This window comes from Homo sapiens, chromosome 10 (assembly GCF_000001405.40).
Source record: "Homo sapiens chromosome 10, GRCh38.p14 Primary Assembly".
NCBI classification, from domain to species: Eukaryota; Metazoa; Chordata; class Mammalia; order Primates; family Hominidae; genus Homo; species Homo sapiens.
The window spans coordinates 54168160-54191431 of record NC_000010.11 but is presented as its reverse complement, the minus strand read 5'-3'; the positions used below and the strand labels follow the sequence as shown (position 1 = coordinate 54191431).

General features: G+C 35.6%; 1 protein-coding gene across 20 annotated transcripts in view, besides 1 other annotated feature; it reads left to right on the top strand.

Moving 5' to 3' along the window:
• Positions 1–23272, top strand: part of PCDH15 (protocadherin related 15) — a 1825172-nt gene that overhangs the window by 1436511 nt on the left and 365389 nt on the right. For 18 of the 20 annotated variants that reach the window (XM_047425663.1, NM_001354420.2, NM_001354429.2 and 15 more), the window contains 2 exons: positions 6164–6298; positions 7839–7988. In XM_047425663.1, the coding sequence (XP_047281619.1) occupies positions 6164–6298; positions 7839–7988 (285 nt within the window). Of the gene's footprint in view, positions 1–2047; positions 2069–6163; positions 6299–7838; positions 7989–23272 lie in introns of all 20 variants that reach the window. The other 2 variants (NM_001354411.2, NM_001142769.3) reach the window with 1 other exon arrangement.
• Positions 19369–20137: an enhancer, noted in NCBI's record as "OCT4-NANOG-H3K27ac hESC enhancer chr10:55931055-55931823 (GRCh37/hg19 assembly coordinates)". NCBI's record gives its function as "activates a minimal SCP1, AML or CMV promoter by ChIP-STARR-seq in naive H9 embryonic stem cells {active_cell/tissue: H9 hESC(naive)}" and the evidence as "EXISTENCE:reporter gene assay evidence [ECO:0000049][PMID:30033119]".

Genomic DNA, 23272 nt, shown 5'->3' with positions numbered 1-23272 from the left:
GTTCTAGGCTTTGAAATCTTTCATCTGTTGCACAGGCTGGCTTGGATAACTTATACTCAGTGTTTAGAGCTCACCTCAGGCATTCCTTCATTCGAGAATCTTTCCACGGTATTCATTATCCAATTTTAGTTGCATGCCTCCCTCAGTGCATTTCTCTAATTCTATACTTCCAACTTGAAAATAATGTCTTTCTCCCTCATGAGTTTACATCTGTTGAGAATAGGTCCTATATCTTAGCAACTTTTGTATGCTGAAGAACTAACACAGTTTCCAGCACTTAATAGGGTTTGGGAACTCTTCAATAAACTCATAAATTCAGTCACTATTGAATGAATTAGGTTATCTAACAGATGCTTCAAAGATGCTAATGATGTTGCATTAAGTATTTCACAAGATGGCCTATCCCATGTTTGAACAACTCTAATTCTTAGAAAGCTGTTTTTCATACTGAGTTGAAACCAGTTTTCTTTTAATTCATCTATTATTCCTTAAATCTTCCATTTGCCAGCACACAAAATAAATCTATGAAATAGTCATTCATATATTAGAAGATGGATTTATGTCCTTCTGATACATCTGTTTTTTATAGACCGAGCACCATTTATTTTTATAAAGTAAATTAGTTCATTTCTGGGATTTTCAAAAGATCTGTATTATGAAAAGAAAACTTTAAAGCCATTTTAGTTTATGGGCATGAATTTTACTTCAAGGTAAATCATGCCACTCTTGGCTGGGTGTGGTGGCTCACTCATAATCTCAGCATTTTGGGAGAGTGAGGCTGGAGGATGGCTTGAGGCCAGGAGTTCCAGACCAGCCTTGGCTACATATGGAGATGCAGTCTCTACAAAAATAAACAAAAAACTTAGCCAGGCATGGTGGTTCATGCTTGTAGTCTCACTAATTGAAAGGCTGAGGCAGAAGGATCCCTTGAGCCCACTGGTTCGAGGCTGCAGTGAGCCATGATTGCACCACTGCACTGCAGGCTAGATGACAAATTGGGACCCTAATTCAACAAAATGAAACAAAATCCTGTTGCTTTTGAGTGTCAGAATTAGTGACAATCATCATTATAGGGATAAACTCTTTGAGAGAGACAGTGTGCCACCTCATACAATATCAGCATAGTATTAGAGATTAAGCCTCAAGCATAAAAGTGGAAGTTGTCATTGCAGGGCTTGGCTCTCAAGAGTTGCTTCAAGCATAGCTATTCCAGATGGTAAATGCCAAGAAGGGGACAAGTTTGGATCCATTTGCGTAAAATTTAAGTTGTGTTTCTCCCTTTAATTTAGTGGAAAGTGAAGCCACATTTTAAGAAACAATAGCCAGGAATGTGAGTTGTGATAGTATTCACAGTGTAGATTTTAAGTCAGAAAGAATTCCAAGGGCCACAGTAATACTGAAAAGAAAGGAAAAGAAATATTTGCACCAGTGTTCTTTTTATTGCTATATAGATGTAGACATATACCCATACACACACACACACACACACACACACACACACACACATACACATGCATGTATACATATATGAACCATATCAGTTTATACATTATGCCTTTTAGAGTACTTGTACCACATCATAATTTCAAAATAACCCATAATATAAGTAGAATAGGTAAGGCACAAGGTGTTAAGAGGCATGTCTGAGACCACCAGGTTTTCAGTGTCAGAGATGCTAAAAATTGATTATTGAATGCTGATCATAAAAAATGACAAAGAATAATAATCAATAAAGATTACTCATTTGGCTTGTAAAAAGATACTTATTTATAACTTCATGTAAATTTGTTTCTCTGCTTAACGTTATTTTACTATGAAGAGGTATCTTTGATATTTAATTCAATATACTCATAAAGCAGTTAAGTATTTATATGCTTCATAAATATCGTTATTCCATTATATGTGGGTCACAATGCTAATAAAAAAATTGTATACTCTGAAAAAAATTGTCAGTCTAGTGTGCTGGAAGTGGTTTGCTTTTTCTTCATATGTGCGGTTGTGATCATTTACATTTACAATATTTATTTCATGTTTAATTTGCGTATAGGTTCCACCCAGTGGAGTTCCTGTAGGTACTAGGTGTTAAGCTTGTGATTGTTCTTTTGTTAATTGCTGTGGTTTATTTCCTTGTTCTTTTTTTTCTTCACTAAAACACGTAGGTATTACTTCATTATCCCTTATAAGGATATCTACAAATACTTTATATAAATTTAAATATACTTACTTCATTGGTTTAAAATTTAAAAATATTTTAAAGTTAAAAAAGGTAAAAATATTTACATAATCTATTGTTTATAGTACTATGAAATTTTGTAAAATCCAAATTTAATTGTCAACTGAGGCAAAGACTGCTTAATTATTAATGTTTTCTCAGTCCACAACAAACATTGGTAATTTATCATGGCATTTTTTCTAAAACATTGTAAGTTTGAAATTGAATTTTTTTGAACTAAATACTCAGGCAACTACTACCAAGTAATTAAAACTGGCTGAGGAGATAACATTTTTTTGTCATTTTTCTCTTATGCTTTGTCATTTATATGTATGCTCTTGTATATGCATACATATATATGTGCACATATGTCTATACATGTCTGTGTTGTATGTGCCTATATATGTGCATGCATATGGTCTTGTGTGTTTGTGATATCCTATATTTATTCCCATTAGAAACCCCAAGTTGGTGTTTAAACAGTAGACTCTCATCTTTGAACATAGTTTTATATGATAGAATGCTTGTTTATTTTATATTCATATGTTTGTTTACCTGTGTGTTTTCATATGCATTTACTTTTGCATTTTTTTCTGTTTTTATGTGTGCATGTCAGAGCTTATTTTACCATCTCAAAATATAATATGCAGATAAGTGAATTAATATATCATACTTTTGGTATATACTGACTGGATATTTTAGGGTAAAATAAATATTACCTAATGTCAGAGGAAAATTAACGGTTTTTAATCAACTCTCTGTGTACCTATTGATTTAACACTTAAATTCATTTTAAATAAACTTATAGACACAACAGCTACCTAAAGTCTGCTACCCCTATTGGAATATTAAGCCAGAGCATTATTTGTCCATGTACATCCTAGTCTATGAAACTTATAAGCTATTAACTCTAACATGATTAAAAGAGTTGCAAATATACAAGTGTTGACTCAAGTTACTCTTTAGGAATTGCAAAATTCAAATATATTTGTGAAATTCAAACTGTATCGGAATGCAGCTTGACAAGAAGGAATTTAAGTTTATAAAGAGATTTAGAGAAGGATATTTGACTTCAAATGCACATTGTTTCTTACCAAACCTTTGATACACCTTTCTTGTGAAGGGTAGCAAAACCTTGAACTGTAAATATTGTCAATCAAAACAATAGGTTAGTTGGTACTGATATGTATCTATTAACATTTTATGTTGATATTACTTAAAATTTTCATAAAACTCATAAAATGATATGCTGTAATATTTGGAACATAAATATATACACAACATTTGAAACTTGCACTATCTTTAAAAATGAATATAAATTATTAAACATTGAGTGACAATTTGTTGAACATTTCCAAATCTGGCTTCCTAAATTTTTTTACTTAAATTAATACGAGGATATTTACCAGTAGCATTTATGTACAAGATTATTATTTTAAATATACATAAATGTAAATGTTATATTTTGATCAGAGATTAACTAAACAAAACAGAATGAGCTATAATATGCCATGTATAGTGCTAGCTTTCTGTGATAGATTATCTTCTTCACAAAAAGCAAATACACTGTAGTTCTGGGAAATGTTATCTTTCTCCAGCTAGTTATTATAAAAGCACTCAAGAAACTGAGACAGTTAAATTAACAAAAGATCTTTAATGTTTCTGTTTATCCAATATAAGGAAGTCTATTTATGGAGTATTGATGTGTGCATTATCTTCAAACGAAAAGCATTTGACAAACAAAACCTAGAGGTTTTCTTGAAAGTGGTAAAAAGTAAGTGCTCTTTGTGACACAAACATATTATACTACAGTCACATTTGGACACACTAGTTGACAACTCAATACTTATTGAAATATTGCATTATCGAAATACTTGACACACAAAAATGCTTAAAAATGTGAAGATATGAGTGAATATACCTAACAAATTTATTAACAGAGGTTACGGTTGAAAGGAAGAAAATAAATTGAGAGAATTAAGGTATAAAGGAAGTAGAGAATGATGAGATTTGAACAAAAGGAACAAAGTAAATATTTGGTAAACAAGGTACATAGCAAAACTTCCTCAGCTTGCATTTAGGGTTTAAAGGTCCGAATAAATTAAGGCATGCCAGATGGCACCATTGTTGGTGCATTTAGAGAAGTGTATATGTGCTTAAAAGCCCAGTGATTAGGTAAATCCAGGATGAACACAAAACAAATGGCAGACATTCATACTTAGAGTTTCTTTGACTGAAACTGCATGTTAACTAAAACTTTTTTATCAACTCTAATAATTGAATTTAATCACAATTCACTCTAAAGTGTAAAATAAGAATGCTTAAAATATCATTCAGAATAGACATATGCATTTTCTAATTGACTTTTAAAAATACATAATTTATTTTTAAAACTAACATGTTAGATTTTTTAGAATATCCCGCTTTCTAGTTATCTGAGTAATTGGGTTCATGACACTGAAATGGAAACAACTGAAGTGCCTGTTTGAAAATATCAGAGTGTGAAGCCTCTTGAACTTTTTCTCAATATTTTTGATCATTTTATAATAAATACGCCAGTTGGAATTATTATGTGTAGTATTACTTTCTTATTGTTCCAGGATAAATGTAGCACAGTGACCTTAAGTCAAAATCCTGAACATAGAAGCTACTACAGAATGAGATATTATGAATACATAACTTGTTTTAGGTTCAAATGAAACCATTTATTTCAAGGTTATTTGAAATCTACACATATCACAATGTTTAAAAGATGGGCAGATTCAAGTATATTGTGGATCAAATCATGTTCACATTTTATTATAGTAGTGTGCATTACAACTTTTGTATTTTACATAGAAATTTTGAAATTATGAGTTCTATTATTTTCAAATTAAACACATTTAACAATTTTCTATTCTTTGCTCTTGCCTCAGTCCTTGACATCAGACTTAAAGAAGTGTTTTATGATATTAAATCCATTTCATATCATGCTATGCATACTTTAAAAGATAGTATAATCTAGAACAACACCTTACCTCCCTGTATCACTCCTTTCTCTCTTTTTCAAAGCCTTCATAATAGTCCACTCTCTGAATATTCCTTTTTTCTTCGCTCCACCTGCCTTTCTTTCCTACTATGCAGACATCAGTGCTAGCCTTCTTACTTTATATTGCTGTTCTTTCTCTAAATTAGAGTATGTTGTCTTCTGTTTCAGGGGTGGCAATGAAATTGCAAAGGGTCTTCAATGCTAAGTTGATTGTCTCTCAGACTTGAATTTTGAAATCCCTTCCTTTTTAAGTATATATCATTTTTTCTAGACTTTTCTATCAGACACATTTGCTAAATTTATGCATATTTTAAATCAAATTATCTGAAATATTTTAATTAAAGTAAACATGTTTCCATTTGGAAAATTTTACAGCATTAAAATAAGAAAGAGTAAGCATGATATTTATAGGTAATGAATAATACATAACCAATTTTATTTCTATTTTGCATTATAAGTAAGAACAAGATAGTAATATGTATATATGCAGTTTATTACTATAAATGAAGTAATTATAAAGTCTTATTGCTAAAATTTTGAAATGCAATTTTCTTTTCTTGCTTTTATTTCTTATTTCTCCAGTCCAATGCTATTTTGGAAAATATTGATAACAAATAATCAGTAAGAATATATTTAATTGGGAGTTTTTATATTCTTTCTGTTTTTCTATTATTTTTCCTTTTTTCCCACATTGATTATACCTGTTTGTATTTCAGTATTTTGTATTCCACGATATAGGTCACCATCTTTTGAATAGTTTAGATCATTTGAGTAAATATCTAGTTAAATATCTTTTATCGTTAGAAATTCTTAATACTTTCACGTGGATTTTTGCTATAAATTTCAAACATTAACTTCTAGGTAATGAACTAATAGCTACATTATTTATTCAACGTTTGAAACGATGTCATTTTTTTTCAAAGACAAAAGACCCAGAGCTTCACCTTTTTCTGAATGACTACACCTCAGTCTTCACCGTCACACAGACTGGTATTACTCGCTACCTCACCTTACTTCAACCAGTGGACAGGGAAGAACAGCAAACTTACACCTTTTCGGTAAAGAGCTTTTGTGTAAATATACATATGTATGTATGAATGTATGTATGTATGTTTGTATGGAACTGAAAGAGATGTCTGGTTAAAACTGAAAAAATCAATGACTTGGGGGAAAAATACATTATTTTCAATACCAGAGAGAAGATCAATGAAAAATTATTTACATGTATTGCTCTTTTTTTGTAATTTGTGTAGCTATATTAACATTCTTCCTCACAGAAGAAAAAACTTTTCAAAAAAAAAAGAAAGTGAGAATTTCAGTCTTTACTAAACAGTCATAATTGTCTTAAATTGAGGTATAAAGAATTATTTCCTAACCTTTTTTGTTGTTGTTCTTGCATTTTTTATTTAGTCATAAGGTTGAGCCAGTGATTCTCAAGAGGGAATAAATTTTCCCTCCAGTGAACATTTAGCAACATCTGGAGGCATTTTTGTTTGTCACAATTGTGAAGGGGTAGTTACTATAGGCATCTAGTAGGTAGACATAAAGGATGCTGCTAATTGTAATACAGAGAACAGCCCCTCACAATAAAGAGTTATCTGTCCCAAGGTGTCAATAGCACTGAGGTAGATAAATCATGGGTTAGGCTAATCAAGGGGGAAAAAAAGTAAAGGTTATTAAAGTTGTGATTGTAAATATTTATCATGAGATAGGGAAATACACACACACACATAAACATACACACACATGCACACAAACACGTAAATAACAAGTATAGTAGGGTTGACAGTTGGATAAAGAAAAAATGTAACTTCTAATTATATCCCAATTTTTGAATCAGTCACAGGAGAAAGATGAGCTAAGAGAAAGCACAAGTTAAACAAGATATGTAGAAATTATTTCTGGAGAAGCCTACATAGAAAAAGATCAGAACTTCCAGGAAAGTTTATGTGATTGTTAAAAGTTAGATACAAAGTGGATTTAGACAAAGATGGTGGTGCTGTAGCACTGATTTGGCAGGAATTGTTAAAATCTTGATAATGTACATTATCAACATTGATAAAGTATAACATACATTATCAACATTGATAAAGTATAAAATATCACAATTAAATGATACCACTTAGTCCTTTGAAAATTGCCATTGGGTGAATTACTGTGATACAAAGTACATCTAGGAAGTCTACCTTCCTGATGGTATAAACACATTGACTGTACAAGGAACTATTGTATACAAAATATGTAAATGCAAATAATATTTTCCAATTAAGTTTTTAAGGATTAAATTGTAGTTAACCCTAAGAGTCAGCAATGTTATTGGCCCACTTTAAATGATATTTTGCATATCTGATTATTTAAAATATGCCTGGAGTTGAATACCTTAAAACAAAATCTTCAATACTTGCTTCTTACCATATTAGAACACTTTTAATATATGTAATATTACGTCTCTATTACGTCCTTTTATCAACAAAATATTTTTGCACCCTTTCAAATTGTAAGATTACCTGTAAGAAACTTGTTAAACTGTAAGAGCAAACTCTGTACTACTTATATTTGCAGAACATCTCTACTAAGTGTATTTTTCTCCTCCCAAAGATAACAGCATTTGATGGTGTACAAGAAAGTGAGCCAGTCATCGTCAATATTCAAGTGATGGATGCAAATGATAACACGCCAACCTTCCCTGAAATATCCTATGATGTGTATGTTTATACAGACATGAGACCTGGGGACAGTGTCATACAGGTAACTACTCACATAATATAAGTGTACACTCAAAGCTGTTATTTACATGTGCATTATACGATATGCTCATGAAGAAATTACTTAAGAAACAGAAATTGATTTCACACTTATTGTATAGCATAATTAGTTTAAATAGCTTTAAATTTCTGTTACTTTTCAAATAAAAGCATATCCGCCAGGCATGGTGGCTCACGCCTGTAATCCCAGCACTTTGGGAAGCCAAGGCAAGTGGATCACCTGAGGTCGGGAGTTCGAGACCAGCCTGACCAACGCTGTCTCTACTAAAAATACAAAATTAGCCGGGTATGGTGGCGCATGCCTGTAATCCCAGCTACTCAGGAGGCTGAGGCAGGAGAATCGCTTGAACCTGGGAGGCCAAGGTTGCGGTGAGCTGAGATCATGCCATCACACTCCAGCCTGGGCAACAAGAGCAAAACTCCATCTCAAAAAAAAACAAAAACAAAAACAAAAAACCAAAAACAAATAAAAGCATATCTATATGGACTCTAAAGGAGACTTAACTGGTTATTAGAGGTAAACATAGCTATTTGTAGTAAGTGAATAAATGCTTGGTTGTTACTTTAAAAAAAAAAGCATAGCTATTTGACCAGTTTATATTTTATTAAAATACTGAATATATTAAATCTTCAAATTACTTTTCACTACTGTAGAAATTGATTAAATTTCACTTGGAGATAAATACAAAAAACTGCCTTAGTAAATTGATGCATAATCCCACTAGATATTGGTTACCTAGATAAAATATAATCATTACAGCAGAGAAAATTTAAGTTAGATAGTAAATGGTAACTTTGAAAACATGTAAGTCAGGCAACATCTTTATTCCTGATTTATCTTATTTTTACCATTATCTGTGCTTATTACACTTAAATAAGTTATTTCAAACACACACACACACACACACACACACACACACTTTTTTTCTCTCTTTTCCTCTCTCATCAAGGTCATAGCCCATATCTGAAATTAACCTATTTTCTTCTTTCCCTTACTCCAAATGGAAAACTCAGGAGGTTAGCAACTTTGGCTGTCTTGTTTGCCACTGTAATGCCAGCACATGGCAGACATATTAGCCATGCAGTAAATATTTATTCCAAGGATAAATCATCACCAACTTTGCATTAATTGTTAATTAAAATTAGAAATCATTCAATGCAGCTGGGCATGGCGGCTCACACCTGTAATCCTAGCACTTTGGGAGGCCGAGGCGAGCGGATTGCCTGAGCTAAGGAGCTCGAGACCAGCCTGGGCAATATGGTGAAACCCCACCTCTACTAAAATAAAAATTTTTAAAAAAATTAGCCGGACGTGGCGGCATGCGCCTGTAGTCCCAGCTACTCGGGAGGCTGAGGCAGGAGAATTGCTTGAACCCAGGAGGTGGAGATTGCAGTGAACCAAGATGGCGCCACTGCACTCCAGCCTGGGGACAGAGAGAGACTCCGTCTTAAAAAGAAAAACACAAAAAACAAACAAACAAGCAAAATGTGAAAGAAAAAAGAAATCATTCAATGCTATTATTTTTTATTTATGAATTAAGATATGCTTTCTTGAGTTCTATAGAAGGGGTGACATGATAGCCTGGGGACTGGGAATTCACCGGAATGTTTATTCTATGTGTAAATAGCTTCTGCTGTGTATTTGGTAAAGAGAGAAAAAACGTTTCAAACTGCTATGGTAAATTTTTTAATATATTGGTATGGTACTTGTCACATTAATAAAATGAATGTGTTTTAAAGCATTTGATTTCAGGGCAAAACTGTAACTAGTTTATTTCTGTATCTGTGGCATCTGTATCTATAGTTCATGGCATATAGTAGATGTTTAATACGGTAGCTGCTGATGGCAACAAAAGACACTGGGGACTACTATGGAGGGAGAGAGGGAGAAGAGACAATTGAAAAATTAACTATTGTGTACTATACTCAGTATCTGGGTGACAGAATCAATCATACCCCAAACCTCAACATCATGCAATATACCCAGGTAATAAACTTGCGTATGTACCCCCTGAATCTGAAATAAAAGTTAAAATTATAAAATAAAATAAATATAGTGTAGCTACTTAATAAATGCTTATTTGAAGATGAAAGAAAGGAAGACCCTTAGACAAGTAATATTGAATGAATAAAGATATGAGAGAATGGGAAGCTGTAGATACATGACTATTAGTTCCAGTCAATTGATGGACCATGAGAGCTACATTTTTCTTTGCTAAATCACCTTTTCACAGGTAGAAAAATCATAGTTTACATAAATAAATGAATGACAATTATTGTCATGTTCTTATTTAATTAGAGCTGATTTTCATCTCTATAATGACATAATTGGAAATGAAAGTAAGTTTACACAGAAAAACAGCCAGCAGGGAACTACAAAGTGTAAGTAAGAAAATCATAGCAATTATATGGAGAAACTGTATCTCAAAAATGTTTGCCTTAGGGGATCAAAGGCTTATTTCCTCATTTGAAGTCTACAAAAGTTAATTTCCCTTATGTATCTCTTTGTAAAACAGATATTTCCTTGCCTTTCAAGACTTTTATATATTTTCCTGAACTATGCAGATTATGAAGATAGACTGTTGTTTGTGTCAGCATGCCCACAATTTTAAAAATTATTTAAGTCAACAAATTAAGCTTTATAATTAGTATTTTAATGTTATTTCTGGTATGTGGTAGAAGAATGGTCTCGCTATAAAACATCCTCCAAGAACCTAGACATAAACTAGTTCTCATTGAGAGAATATTTTTAAAACAAAGAAACTTGATACAGAACTCTGATCTACATATACCCTTTAAGAGTCATGACATAGGTCCCTATGCTACACCTCATCACAACCCTGCCTTTCCCCATTGACCTGACACAGGATACATCAGTTTACTTTGTGGTTAGTAAACTGATGTCAAAGACTGAAAGTGTCAGAAACAAAAGTGACAATGAGCACTTTAAAGGAAAGAGACACTTGGGCAACAGGTTTTAATTATTGTCATTTTCAATGTAGCCATGAGACTCTTTTAGCCTGATGTGAGTGCATACTCAATTTTTTAAGTACAGTATATTTTTCTTATTAAGTATCTACCCTGTCTGCAAGGAGCAAATGAGTTGGTTATAAAGTTTTAACCAGATCCTTGTTATAAGTTCTCAGTTATAAATTGAGCTTCTGACTTTATATATGTCTCTTACACTTGATTTTTTCAAAAAGCCTGGAGTGATTCTCATGCACATGGGTCATGAACAACACTTAGAGGAGTGATGCCTTAAAGCACCAACATCATCTTCCGTAACCGGAGCTGAAGTATAATCACATTATTAGCACATATTTTGTTTAAGGGAAAATTACTGCATGAGATAATTTCATTTTTCATTCCATGCAGACCGTTTTATCAGATGTCAATGCAATCGTATAGGTTGAAACTAATAAATACTATGCTCCACTAATACCAATCCACACATTGCTAGTTTTCTTGAAAAGACAATTACTCCCTATACAGGATACAGATTTTAATATTTTGAAGATGTCAATTTAAATACTAGTAGCTAGCTATCCAATTAATGCTCCATAAACACTATTCGCAAACATCTGCAATTCTCTTAAACTGTGATTCTCAATGATAATTGACTATTAGCATTCTGCCTGAGGAACTTTTAAAGTATTGATGCCAGCACTTCATTCTAAGATGTTTGTATTTAAATGATTTGGCCACCCATAACGGACTCACTTAGACAGATTTTATTTAAGAAATTGAAACAGTTCTAATATGCAGCCAATTTTGAGAGTTACAGTTTTAAACAACAATATTTTAAAAGTACCACTGAATAATTGTACTTCTTTTTTTTTAAATTTTATTTTATTATTATTATACTTTAAGTTTTAGGGTACATGTGCACAATGTGCAGGTTAGTTACATATGTATACATGTGCCATGCTGGTGTGCTGCACCCAATAACTCGTCATTTAGCATTAGGTATATCTCCTAATGCTATCCCTGCCCCCTCCCCCCACCCCACAACAGTCCCCAGAGTGTGATGTTCCCCTTCCTGTGTCCATGTGTTCTCATTGTTCAATTCCCACCTATGAGTGAGAACATGCGGTGTTTGGTTTTTTGTCCTTGTGATAGTTTACTGAGAATGATGATTCCCAATTTCATCTATGTCCCTACAAAGGACATGAACTTATCCTTTTTTTATGGCTGCATAGTATTCCATGGTGTATATGTGCCACATTTTCTTAATCCAGTCTATCGTTGTTGGACATTTGGGTTGGTTCCAAGTCTTTGCTATGGTGAATAGTGCCGCAATAAACATACGTGTGTATGTGTCTTTATAGCAGCCTGATTTATAGTCCTTTGGGTATATATCCAGTAATGGGATGGCTGGGTCAAATGGTATTTCTAGTTCTAGATCCCTGAGGAATCACCACACTGACTTCCACAATGGTTGAACTAGTTTACAATCCCACCAACAGTGTAAAAGTGTTCCTATTTCTCCACATCCTCTCCAGCACCTGTTGTTTCCTGACTTTTTAATGATTGCCATTCTAACTGGTGTGAGATGGTATCTCATTGTGGTTTTGATTTGCATTTCTCTGATGGCCAGTGATGATGAGCATTTTTTCACATGTTTTTTGGCTGCATAAATGTCTTCTTTTGAGAAGTGTCTGTTCATGTTCTTTGCCCACTTTTTGATGGGGTTGTTTTTTTCTTGTAAATTTGTTTGAGTTCATTGTAGATTCTGGTACTTCTTAAGTCATTAAGATGGAATCCCACATAAAGTTGAGTCCTCTGATCCTCACCCCACTTCTTTTCATTGTTCTTTTGTTTTTTAGTTCTCCTTCCCTTCTTCTGTGATGCTTCTTACTCTTCTTTCCTGTCTTAGACTGCACTCCTTCCAATTTCTGTGCTCCACCAATTATTCTATTTTTTTGATGCAATAATCTCTCTCCAGTGACTAATCCCTTCCCTTTGCCCAATTAACATTATTAACATCCCCAGGTTCTGGTCTAATCCCTACTCCCAGATATAATTCTTCATGCTTCTATCCCACTCTGATTATTTTCCTTATCGACAAAAATGTATCAATCTAAGTGCCTGCATACATATATTGATCTATATCTATCTCTATATTTCTATCTGTATTTATCTATCTTGTATAGAATATACTCTGGGTTTCACTCACATCACACCACTAAAATCATATAAAATTAGATATCCCATCAGTCTATTTCTACATGTCAAAGTCAAAAGTCCTTAATCTTTTTGAAACTCTCAACTATACCCTTTTATGAAAAACTTCCCTGGTTCCCATCCTACTTCTCTGTTGGCTGAGAGATGTTACTGGCCCCTTGTTCAATTATCACCCTTTAAAAATTAACGTTCTTCAAATACGTATATATACTTCTTCTCTTTTTCATCTGTTCTCAAGTTTTCAATCATCACCTCTATATATACTTGTCTCCCAAAGTTAAATGCCCTGTAATGACCTCTTTCCCAAGCAGCAAGCTGACATTCCAGATATCAGCTGGACATGACAAAGTAGATCTTTTACAAGCACTTCAAATTGCACATATCCAAAAATACATTAACTAATCAATTATCTTTATTTTAATAAACAAACACAGACACTCAAAAACATGCATCTAGTCGTGTTGGAGGCAGCTATATCATGATGCACACCATTAATCTTTAGGTTCCACAGGCAGCAGGATAGGCACCTTGCAGTCTTGTTTGTTTTCCCTCTGCTTTACCTGCATACATCCAAATTATTGTTCAGTTTAGGCAATTTCTATTTTAGAATGTATTTGTAGATCATCATTTCATCTTTTTTGTTAAAGATTTTTTTTGAGCAGTTTTAGGTACACACCAAAATTGAGAGGAAGATACAGTGATTTCCCATATACTCACTGTCCCCACAGATGCATACCTGCCCCAATATTAACACCCCATACCAAAGTGATACATTTGCCACAATTAATGAACTTACATTCGCACATTGTTATCATCCAAAGTCTGTAGTTTGCATTAGGATTCACTCTCGGTGCTTCATTTTATGGTTTTGTACTAATGACATATATCCACCATTATAGAACCACACAGAAGAGTTTCACTGCTCTAAAAATCCTGTGCTCTGCCTATGCTTCCCTCCCCCTTGCTTGCTTCCTTCCCCTGACAATCATTGATCTTTCTACAGTCTCCATGATTTTGCCTTTTCCAGAATAGCATGTGTTTAGAATCATATAGTATGTAGCCTTGTCAGACTGGCTTATTTCACTTAGTAATACGTATTTAAAATTCCTCCATGTCTTTTCATGACATAATAGCCCATATCTTTTCAGGGCTGTATAATATTCCATTATCTAGATGTAACACAGTTTATTTATTCATTCTTCCATGAAATAATATTTTGGTTGCTTTCAAGTTTTGGCCATTATTAATAAAGCTGCTATAATCATCCATGCTAAGTTTTTTTTTTTACATGGACATAAATTTTCAAATCCTTTTGGTAAATACCAAGGAGTGGGATTGCTGGATCATATAGAATGAATATGGATATCTTTGTTAGAAACTGAGAAGCTGTCTTCTAAGGTGACTGTACCAATTTGCATTCCCATTTCCACCACCAATTCCTTTTCCATGCCTATGTGCTGCCATAATTTAGGCTACTACAGTAAACTATGTTGGGCAATCTGGCTATTTCAATGGATTTCCTACCACACTGTTTCAGATGATTATTCTGAAACTGAGTCAGAACAGATCCTCACCCTCCTGGAAAACCTACCAATGGAAGGAAGAAAGCTCCACACATACAGTCAAGGACATCTATGTAATACTCTTAAATATATTTGTTTCATCTCCTGCTACATCCCTTCATGTTATGAATCCGAGAATAATATATAGGGTTTTGTTTTACTTGTTTTTAGCATGGAATATTCTTCTTATTCTGTAACTATTGAGAGCTCTCTCAGGTTGAAGGTTTGATCCAAGTTGTATCTTTAAAAAAGAAAATCTTTAACACACAGTACAATTGTTACCTCTTTAATAAAGGCTATATTTTCCTAGCAAGTCAAAATTAATTGCTTCCACGTACCAGCTATCAACTGTATCTCCCACATGTTTTATTGTGGCTTGCGTTAAGGCTAACTTTTACGTGTCTGTCTCCCCTACTGATCTGTAAGTTCCTTTAAGACAAAAACTTTTAATGATCTAACCACGAGTGGTCAGTATAATGACTTACACACAGTAGGAATTCAGTTAATGTCCATAGAATTTAATTCCCTCGACTAATGTACCCTCAATGAGTTTAGAAAACACCTAATTTTAGATATATGTTCTATTTGGCGTAAGAATTCTATCACACACTAAGTATCACCTCACATAGTCCTTTCCCGAGATGATCTCTAACTTCACAGCTTTAGCCAAGCTACCCCTTCCTGCTCTTAAATTGGAAATATTTTAATTTCTTAGTTATTCTATATCATAGGTAATTATTCATAGGTAGTTATTCTATATCATAGGTATACCTATATCATAGGTAATTATCATACCTATATCATAGGTAGTTATTCTATATCATAGGTAATATATCATAGGAAAAAACTTTGAACATAATTATTTTTATAGCCTAATTTTATAGAAAAATGTGAGTTAATATAATGACAGATGATTGTTCCAAATTAACGAGGGTTTTAAGTGACAGAGATGAAGTAGAATCCAATTTAAAGACAATAGAATTGGGAGGCAGGCTAGCTAGTTGCATTTCTTTCTGCCACTTTGTACCATTACATGACATAACCTTTTGTACCTCAGTTTTCCAATCTTTAAAATGGTGATAATAATAGTACCAACCTCAAAAGAGTGTTGTGATTATTAAACTAACTATATAAACTACTATCACATGCATGCTTAGCAAATGCTGCATGTGGTAACTTGCTATTATTACTGTACCATTCTCATAAATTATGTAAAGCACTTATGATTATTAATATTTGTTGCTACCTTATCTGTATATACTTCTGAGTGTCCTGTGTTATTTAGTGCTCTGTGGAGGACACGTACATAACATATAAAATTACATATTAAATTCTGTTTTTGTAATTTCAAATATTCAAGTTTAAGATAAAACTACATCGTATTTTAATGTCTCTTGACAATTTATTTCACACAAGATTGGGAGGGTTCAGAGTGGTATGGCCATAGACGACAATTTCTTTCAAATAATGATTTTGTTTTCTTTGGTTTGTGTGTATAATGTCATGATTAAAGTTTGAGGGTTATATTTACTTAAGGTCTTGAGGGGGTTCAGTATTTCAGCAAATACCGGATAAAGTCTTCATGAGCAAAGCTTACAAAAATGTGGACCTATTTTTACATTAGTACACAATTTTAATTTATTTTTGATATTTGAAGCATTTTATTTTTTTCTAAAGACCACTCCATTTCTTGGCTAAACCTATTTGTATTAGAATTGAAATATATACACCAACATGTAATTCTGAACTTATACAGGTTATTCACTCATGCTTAGGACTTTAATTGAATTCCAAGTTTGATTACACTATCAGCATTTTTTCAAATGGATGATATTCCCCAATCTAAGAAACTAGCAACACCTCAGGAGGCTGAAGCGGGAGAATCTCTTGGAGGTTGCAGTGAGCCAAGATCGCGCCATTGCACTCCCGGCTGGGTGACGGAACGAGACTCTGTCTCAAAAAAAAAAAAAAAAAAAAAGAAAAGAAAAAGAAAAAAGAAAGAAGGAAAAGAAAATAGCAACACCTTCCATTTGATTGGAAAAAGTTATTCTTGAAACATACTCATTTACTCCCATCTCCAATCTATTACCACCTCCTACCAATTTTTTCTCATATACTTATTTAATGCATCTACCTGTTTTTCTTTTTTTCTTTTTTTTGCTCTGTCGCCCAGGTTGGAGTGCAGTGGTGCGATCTCAGCTCACTGCAAGCTCCGCCTCCCGAGTTCACGCCATTCTCCTGTCTCAGCCTCCTGAGTAGCTGGGACTACAGGAGCCCACCACCATGCCCGGCAATTTTTTTTTTGTATTTTTATTAGAGACGGGGTTTCACCGTGTTAGCCAGGATGGTCTGGTTCTCCTGACCTCGTGATCTGCCTGCCTCGGCCTCCCAAAGTGCTGGGATTACAGGTGTGAGCCACCACGCCCGGCCTTAATTTTTCTTTCACTGCCACCATCAACTTTCACCTAAACCTGTGAAATGTCCTTCTATGAGTATTATTTATGTCTCCTCTTTCCCTCTTCTTCATTCATTAGCCAGTGGGCTATATTACATTTGAAATCACTCAAATAATTAGCATGCTTGACCCCTTCAATGGTTTTCTACTGCTATAAAAATGAAGCCCATAATCGATATCCTGTATTACTGGATTAGCGTTCAATTTCTTCACTTAGCATTTTATCTTTCTCTTATTTGTTATGATGCTCCCACAGTGATGAGATAACTTTCATTCATATGCTTTCCGTCTTTTAGGTCTTAATTTAAATGCCGCTTCCTCAAAGAAGACTTCCATGATTTCCTCTTCTCAATGTTACCCCTTTATTATCTTGGAGCATCCTGATTTCTCCTTCACAGCACATTTAAAAATTTATAATTATATGGTTAAACTATCTGTTTCTCTCACTTAATTATAGGCTCAAATGGAATAAAATTATTGTCAATTTTTTTGCATACTTTTCTTCTTTTTCTATCACTACTGTATGCCTAACACCTTACACAGTCCCAGCACATTGACCTTTAATAAATATTATTTGTTAAATGAATAAATGGATAAAAAGAACTAATAGATGTAGGTAAAATATGTATTAGGAATTTATTTATGAGTCATGGGAAATAACTTATATTTCAGGTTAATTCATTTTTAAATTTTTTACAAAGTAAAATATTTTAAACTACAGTTATATTAGTATCCCTATAACGTAGTACTTCCAAACTTGATTATTCAGAAGAATCACTTCAAAAAGACTCTTGAGATGCTAAACTGACTGAAAACATAAGTCAATCATATATGCTGTTAAAGAGGCAAAGTTGAATAATTAACACATTTATTTGAAAATGATTTATTGTGTAGAGCATTTAAAGTATTGCGCACGATGCCAAATCATAAGAAATAAAGAAACTATCAACATATAGTTTATGACCTTAAGTAATTACTAGACTACTAATGAAGAAAGGCAAATTATATTTTGGTTTTATAATACATGACAAATATGACTTAGATCATCAAATTAAACATTATTAAGTGTTTAGCACATATTTCAGTATCTCTTAAAACCTTAGGGCTTATGTAGTTTAGGCTGAGGTTTCCCATTTGATAAATTTGAAGAAATACTAATGCTAGCATTATAGTAATCACAATTCCTTGCATTTTGAATTTGTGTAACTGAAAACAGAATATTTAGATTTTATATTATTTTTCAGACGTTATCCCCTTTCCTTGATATACTTAACAGTGTAGCTTTTTAAAGAAAACTCATTTGTAAACACAATTATTTACTTTTATATTTCTGTATCATGTTTTTTGGTTGTCATAGTGAAAGTTGTCCAATTTCATGGTCCGGTTTCAATAATTAATGCTTAGGTGCTTGCATTTTTTATGAAGCTTCTGCTTATTTGTATGTGATTGTTTTTACAATCATGTAAATTGTGTATTTTTAATTTTGACTATATTCACGCTCATACTTATGGTTCTATATATTGCTGGTTTACTAGATATTTGACTTGAAATATGATATTGCTCTAGAAGAAACAAAATGTACAATATATTTTATACTATTTTCTTTAGTATATGTCCAATAAATGAAACATTTCTTTGATCAATTTTAGCTTTTATTCACCTATTGTTTCCAAAAAAGAGCTCATTTTCTTTTCAGCTTTCACTGGTAGTAAATTTTGTTATTTTCATGCGCGTGAAGAGACCACCAAACAGGCTTTGTGTGAGCAACATGGCTGTTTATTTCACCCGGGTGCAGGCGGGCTGAGTCCGAAAAGAGAGTCAGCTAAGGGAGATAAGGGTGGGGCCGTTTTATAGGATTTGGGTAGGTAAAGGAAAATTACATTCAAAGGGGGTTTGTTCTCTGGCGGGCAGGAGTCGGGGGTCGCAAGGTGCTCAGTGGGGGTGTTTCTGAGCCAGGATGAGCCAGGAAAAGGACTTTCACAAGGTAAAGTCATCACTTAAGGCAAGGACTGGCCATTTACACTTCTTTTGTGGTGGAATGTCATCAGTTAAGGTGGGGCAGGGCATATTCACTTCTTTTGTGATTCTTCAGTTACTTCAGGCCATCTGGGCGTATAAGTGCAAGTCACAGGGGATGCGATGGCTTGGCTTGAGCTCAGAGGCCTGACATTCCTGGCTTCTTATATTAATAAGAAAAATAAAACAAAATAGTGTTGAAGTGTTGGGGCGGCGAAAATTTTTGGGGGGTGGTATGGAGAGAGAATGGGCGATGTTTCTCAGGGCTGCTTCAAGCAGGATTAGGGGCGGCGTGGGAACCTAGACTGGGAGAGATTAAGCTGAAGGGAGGCCTTGTGGTAAGGGGTGATATTGTGGGGATGTTAGAAGAAACATTTGTCATATAGAATGATTGGTGATGGCCTGGATACGGTTTTGGATGAATTGAGAAACTAAATGGAATAACAGAAGGAGAAAAACAGGTATAAAAGGTCTAAGAATTGGGACAACTCAGGATATCTGATTAGAGAGTGCCTAAGGAGATTCAGCATAGTCCTGCCAGCAAAGATTATTTATTTACTTCAAGAGTTAAGAGTGGCAGTTTGGGGATAGCACCAGGAGATATCAGCTGTGATGGCTTGGAAAAACAGTGTAAACCGGCAGTGTAAACAAGAGCAGGGCATGTACGAGTAGTTGAGAACGGTGAATAGGAGTATGACTAGACAGAAGATAGTAGGGATGACAAGTTTTTTGGGGGGCACAGTCTTAAGTTGCTCTGGTGTCTGGAATGAGACTGGGGCTTAATAAAAAGGAGCATCTATACCGCTCAAATGGGCTGTACCCCTGTAGCATTCTGAGGACAGGCCTGAATTCTGAGAAGGGAAAGTGGTAAAAGTATTGTCCAGTCCTTTTTAAGTTGGTGGCTGAGCTTGGTGAGGTGTATTTTTAAAAGACCTTTAGTCCATTCTACTTTTCTTGAAGACGGAGGACCGTAAGGGATATAAAGGTTTCACTGAATATTAAGAGCCTGAAAAACTGCTTGGCTGATTTGACTAATAAAGGCTCGTCCGTTATCAGACTGTATTGAGGTGGGAAGGCTAAACTGAGGAATTATGTCTGACAGAAGGGAAGAAATGCCTGCGGTGGCCTTCTCAGACCCTGTAGGAAAGGCCTCTACCTATCCAGTGAAAGTATCTACCTAGACTAAGAGGTATTTTAGTTATCTGACTCAGGGCATGTTGAGTAAAGCTAATTTGCCAGTCCTGGGTGGGGCAAATCCTCGAACTTGATGTGTAGGGAAGGGAGGGGGCCTGAATAATCCCTGAGGAGTAGTAGAATAGCAGATGGAACACTGAGAAGTTATTTCCTTGAGGATAGATTTCCACGATGGAAAGGAAATGAGAGGTTCTAAGAGGCGGGCTAGTGGCTTGTACTATAGCATAACCTGCCTTTGCTGGTGTGTGGGGATTAGGCCTGGTGGAACCGCCATCAATAAATCAAGCGTGATCAGGGTGAGGAACAGGAAAGAAGGAAATTTGGGGAAATGGGGTGAATGTCAGGTGGATCAGAGGGATACAGTCATGGGGGTCAGGTGTGGTATCAGGAATAATGTGGGAGGCCGGATTGAAGTCTGGGTCAAGAACGACGGTAATTGTGGGAGACTCAACAAAGAGTGAGTATAGCTGAAGGAGCTGGGAAGCAGAAAGTATATGCATCAGGTATGAGGAAGAAAATAGGTTTTGGAAGTTATGAGAACTGTAGAGAGTGAGTTGAGCATAGTTTGTGATTTTGAGGGCCTCTAAAAGTATTAATGCAGTGGCAGCCACTGCACGCAGACATGAGGGCTAGACTAAAACAGTAAGGTCAAGTTGTTTGGGCAGAAAGGCTACAGGGTGTGGTCCTGGCTCTTGTGTAAGAATTCTGACCACACTAACCATGCCTAGGAAAGAAAGGAGTTGTTGTTTTGTAGAAGTTGCTGTGGTTTGAGAGATCAGTCGGACACGATTGGCAGGGAGAGCACGTGTGTTTTTATGAGAATTATGCTGAGATAGGTAACAGATGAGGAAGAAATTTGGGCTTGATTGAAGTAATGGGGGCTGCCTGTGAAGCTTTGTGGCAGTACAGCCTAGGTAATTTGCTGAGCTTGATGGGTGTCAGGGTCAGTCCAAGTGAAAGCGAAGAGAGGCTGGGATTAAGGGTGCAAAGGAATAGTAAAGAAAGCATGTTTGAGATCTAGAACAGAATAATGGGTTATAGAGGCAGGTACTGAGGATAGGAGAGTATATGGGTTTGGCAGCACGGGGTGGATAGGCAAAACAATTTGGTTGATAAGGCGCAGATTCTGAACTAACTTGTAAGGCTTATCTGGTTTTAGGACAGGTGAAATGGGGGAATTGTAAGGAGAGTTTATAGGCTTTAAAAGGCCATGCTGTAGCAGGCAAGTGATAACAGGCTTTAATCTTTTTAAAGCGTGCTGCGGGATGGGATGTCGGCGTTGAGTGGGGTAAGGGTGATTAGGTTTTAATGAGATGGTAAGGGGTGCATGATTGGTCGCCAAGGAGGGAGTAGAGGTATCTTATACTTGTAGGTTAAGGTGGGGGGATACAAGAGGAGTATGCAAAGGAGGCTTTGGATTGGGAAGAAGGGCGGCAATGAGATATAGCTGTAGTCCAGGAATAGTCAGGGAAGCAGATAATTTAGTTAAAGTGTCACAGCCTAATAAGGGAACTGGGCAGGTGGGGATAACTAAAAAGGAGTGCTTAAAAGAGTATGGTCTAAGTTGGCAACAGAGTTGGGGAGTTTTCAGAGGTTTAGAAGCCTGGCCGTCAATACCCACAACAGTTATGGAGGCAAGGGAAACAGGCCCTTGAAAAGAAGGTAATGTGGAGTGGGTAGCCTCCGTATTGATTAAGAAGGGGACGGGCTTACCTTCCACTGTGAGAGTTACCCGAAGCTCGGCGTCCGTGATTGTCTAGGGGGCTTCCGAGGCGATCAAGCAGTGTCAGTCTTCAGCCGCTAAGCCGAGAAGATCTGGGAAGGAGTCAGTCAGCCTTGGGCCAGAGTTCCAGGGGCTCTGGGAGTGGCTGCCAGGTGAGTTGAACAGTCCGATTTTCAGTGGGGTCCCACACAGATGGGACGCGGCTTAGGAGGAATCCCGGGCTGCAGGCATTCCTTGGCCCAGTGGCCAGATTTCCTGCATGTGTAGCAAGCTCCTGTGGGAGGAGGTTCTGGAGGAACGCCTGGCCGCTGCGGTTCAGGCATTTGGAAGTTCTTTTGTGCTGGAGATGTGGCTGGGGTTTGTCTCACAGTGGAGGCAAGGAATTGCAACATTTTTCTATTATTGTACACCTTGAAGGCGAGGTTAATTAAATCCTGTTGTGGGGTTTGAGGGCCGGAATTTAATTTTTGGAGTTTTATTTAATGTCAGGAGCAGATTGGGTAATAAAATGTATTTTGAGAATAAGACGGCCTTTTGACCTTTTAGGGTCTAGGGCTGTAAAGTGTCTCAGGGTTGCTGCCAAACACGTCATGAACTGGGCTGGATTTTTATATTTGATGAAAAAGAGCCTAAACGCTATCTGATTTGGGATAAAGAAAAAGGAGCATTAACCTTGACTATGCCTTTGGCTCCAGCCACCTTTTTAAGAGTAAATTGCTGGGCAGGTGGGGGAGGGCTAGTCACGGAACGAAACTGTAAGCCCGACCAGGTGTGAGGAGGGGAGGCGATAAAAAGATTATAGGGTGGAGGAGCAGAGGCTGAGGAAGAATTGGGACCTAGCTCGGCCTGGCGAGGAGCAGCCTGGGGAGGAAGGGAGAGGTCAGATGGGTCTGTAGAAAAGGAAGATTAGAAAGACTCAGCGATGCTTGGGGTTGGTACTGAGGGGACAGGCGGGAGGGAAAGAAGGAAGATTTGGGACGAGTTGCATTGGGCACAGAGACTAGGAAGGGACTGATGTGTAAAAGAATGCCTGGACGTCAGGCACCTCAGACCGTTTGCCTATTTTACGACAAGAATTATTTAGATCTTGCAGGATGGAAAAATTCAAAGTGCCATTTTCTGGCTATTTGGAA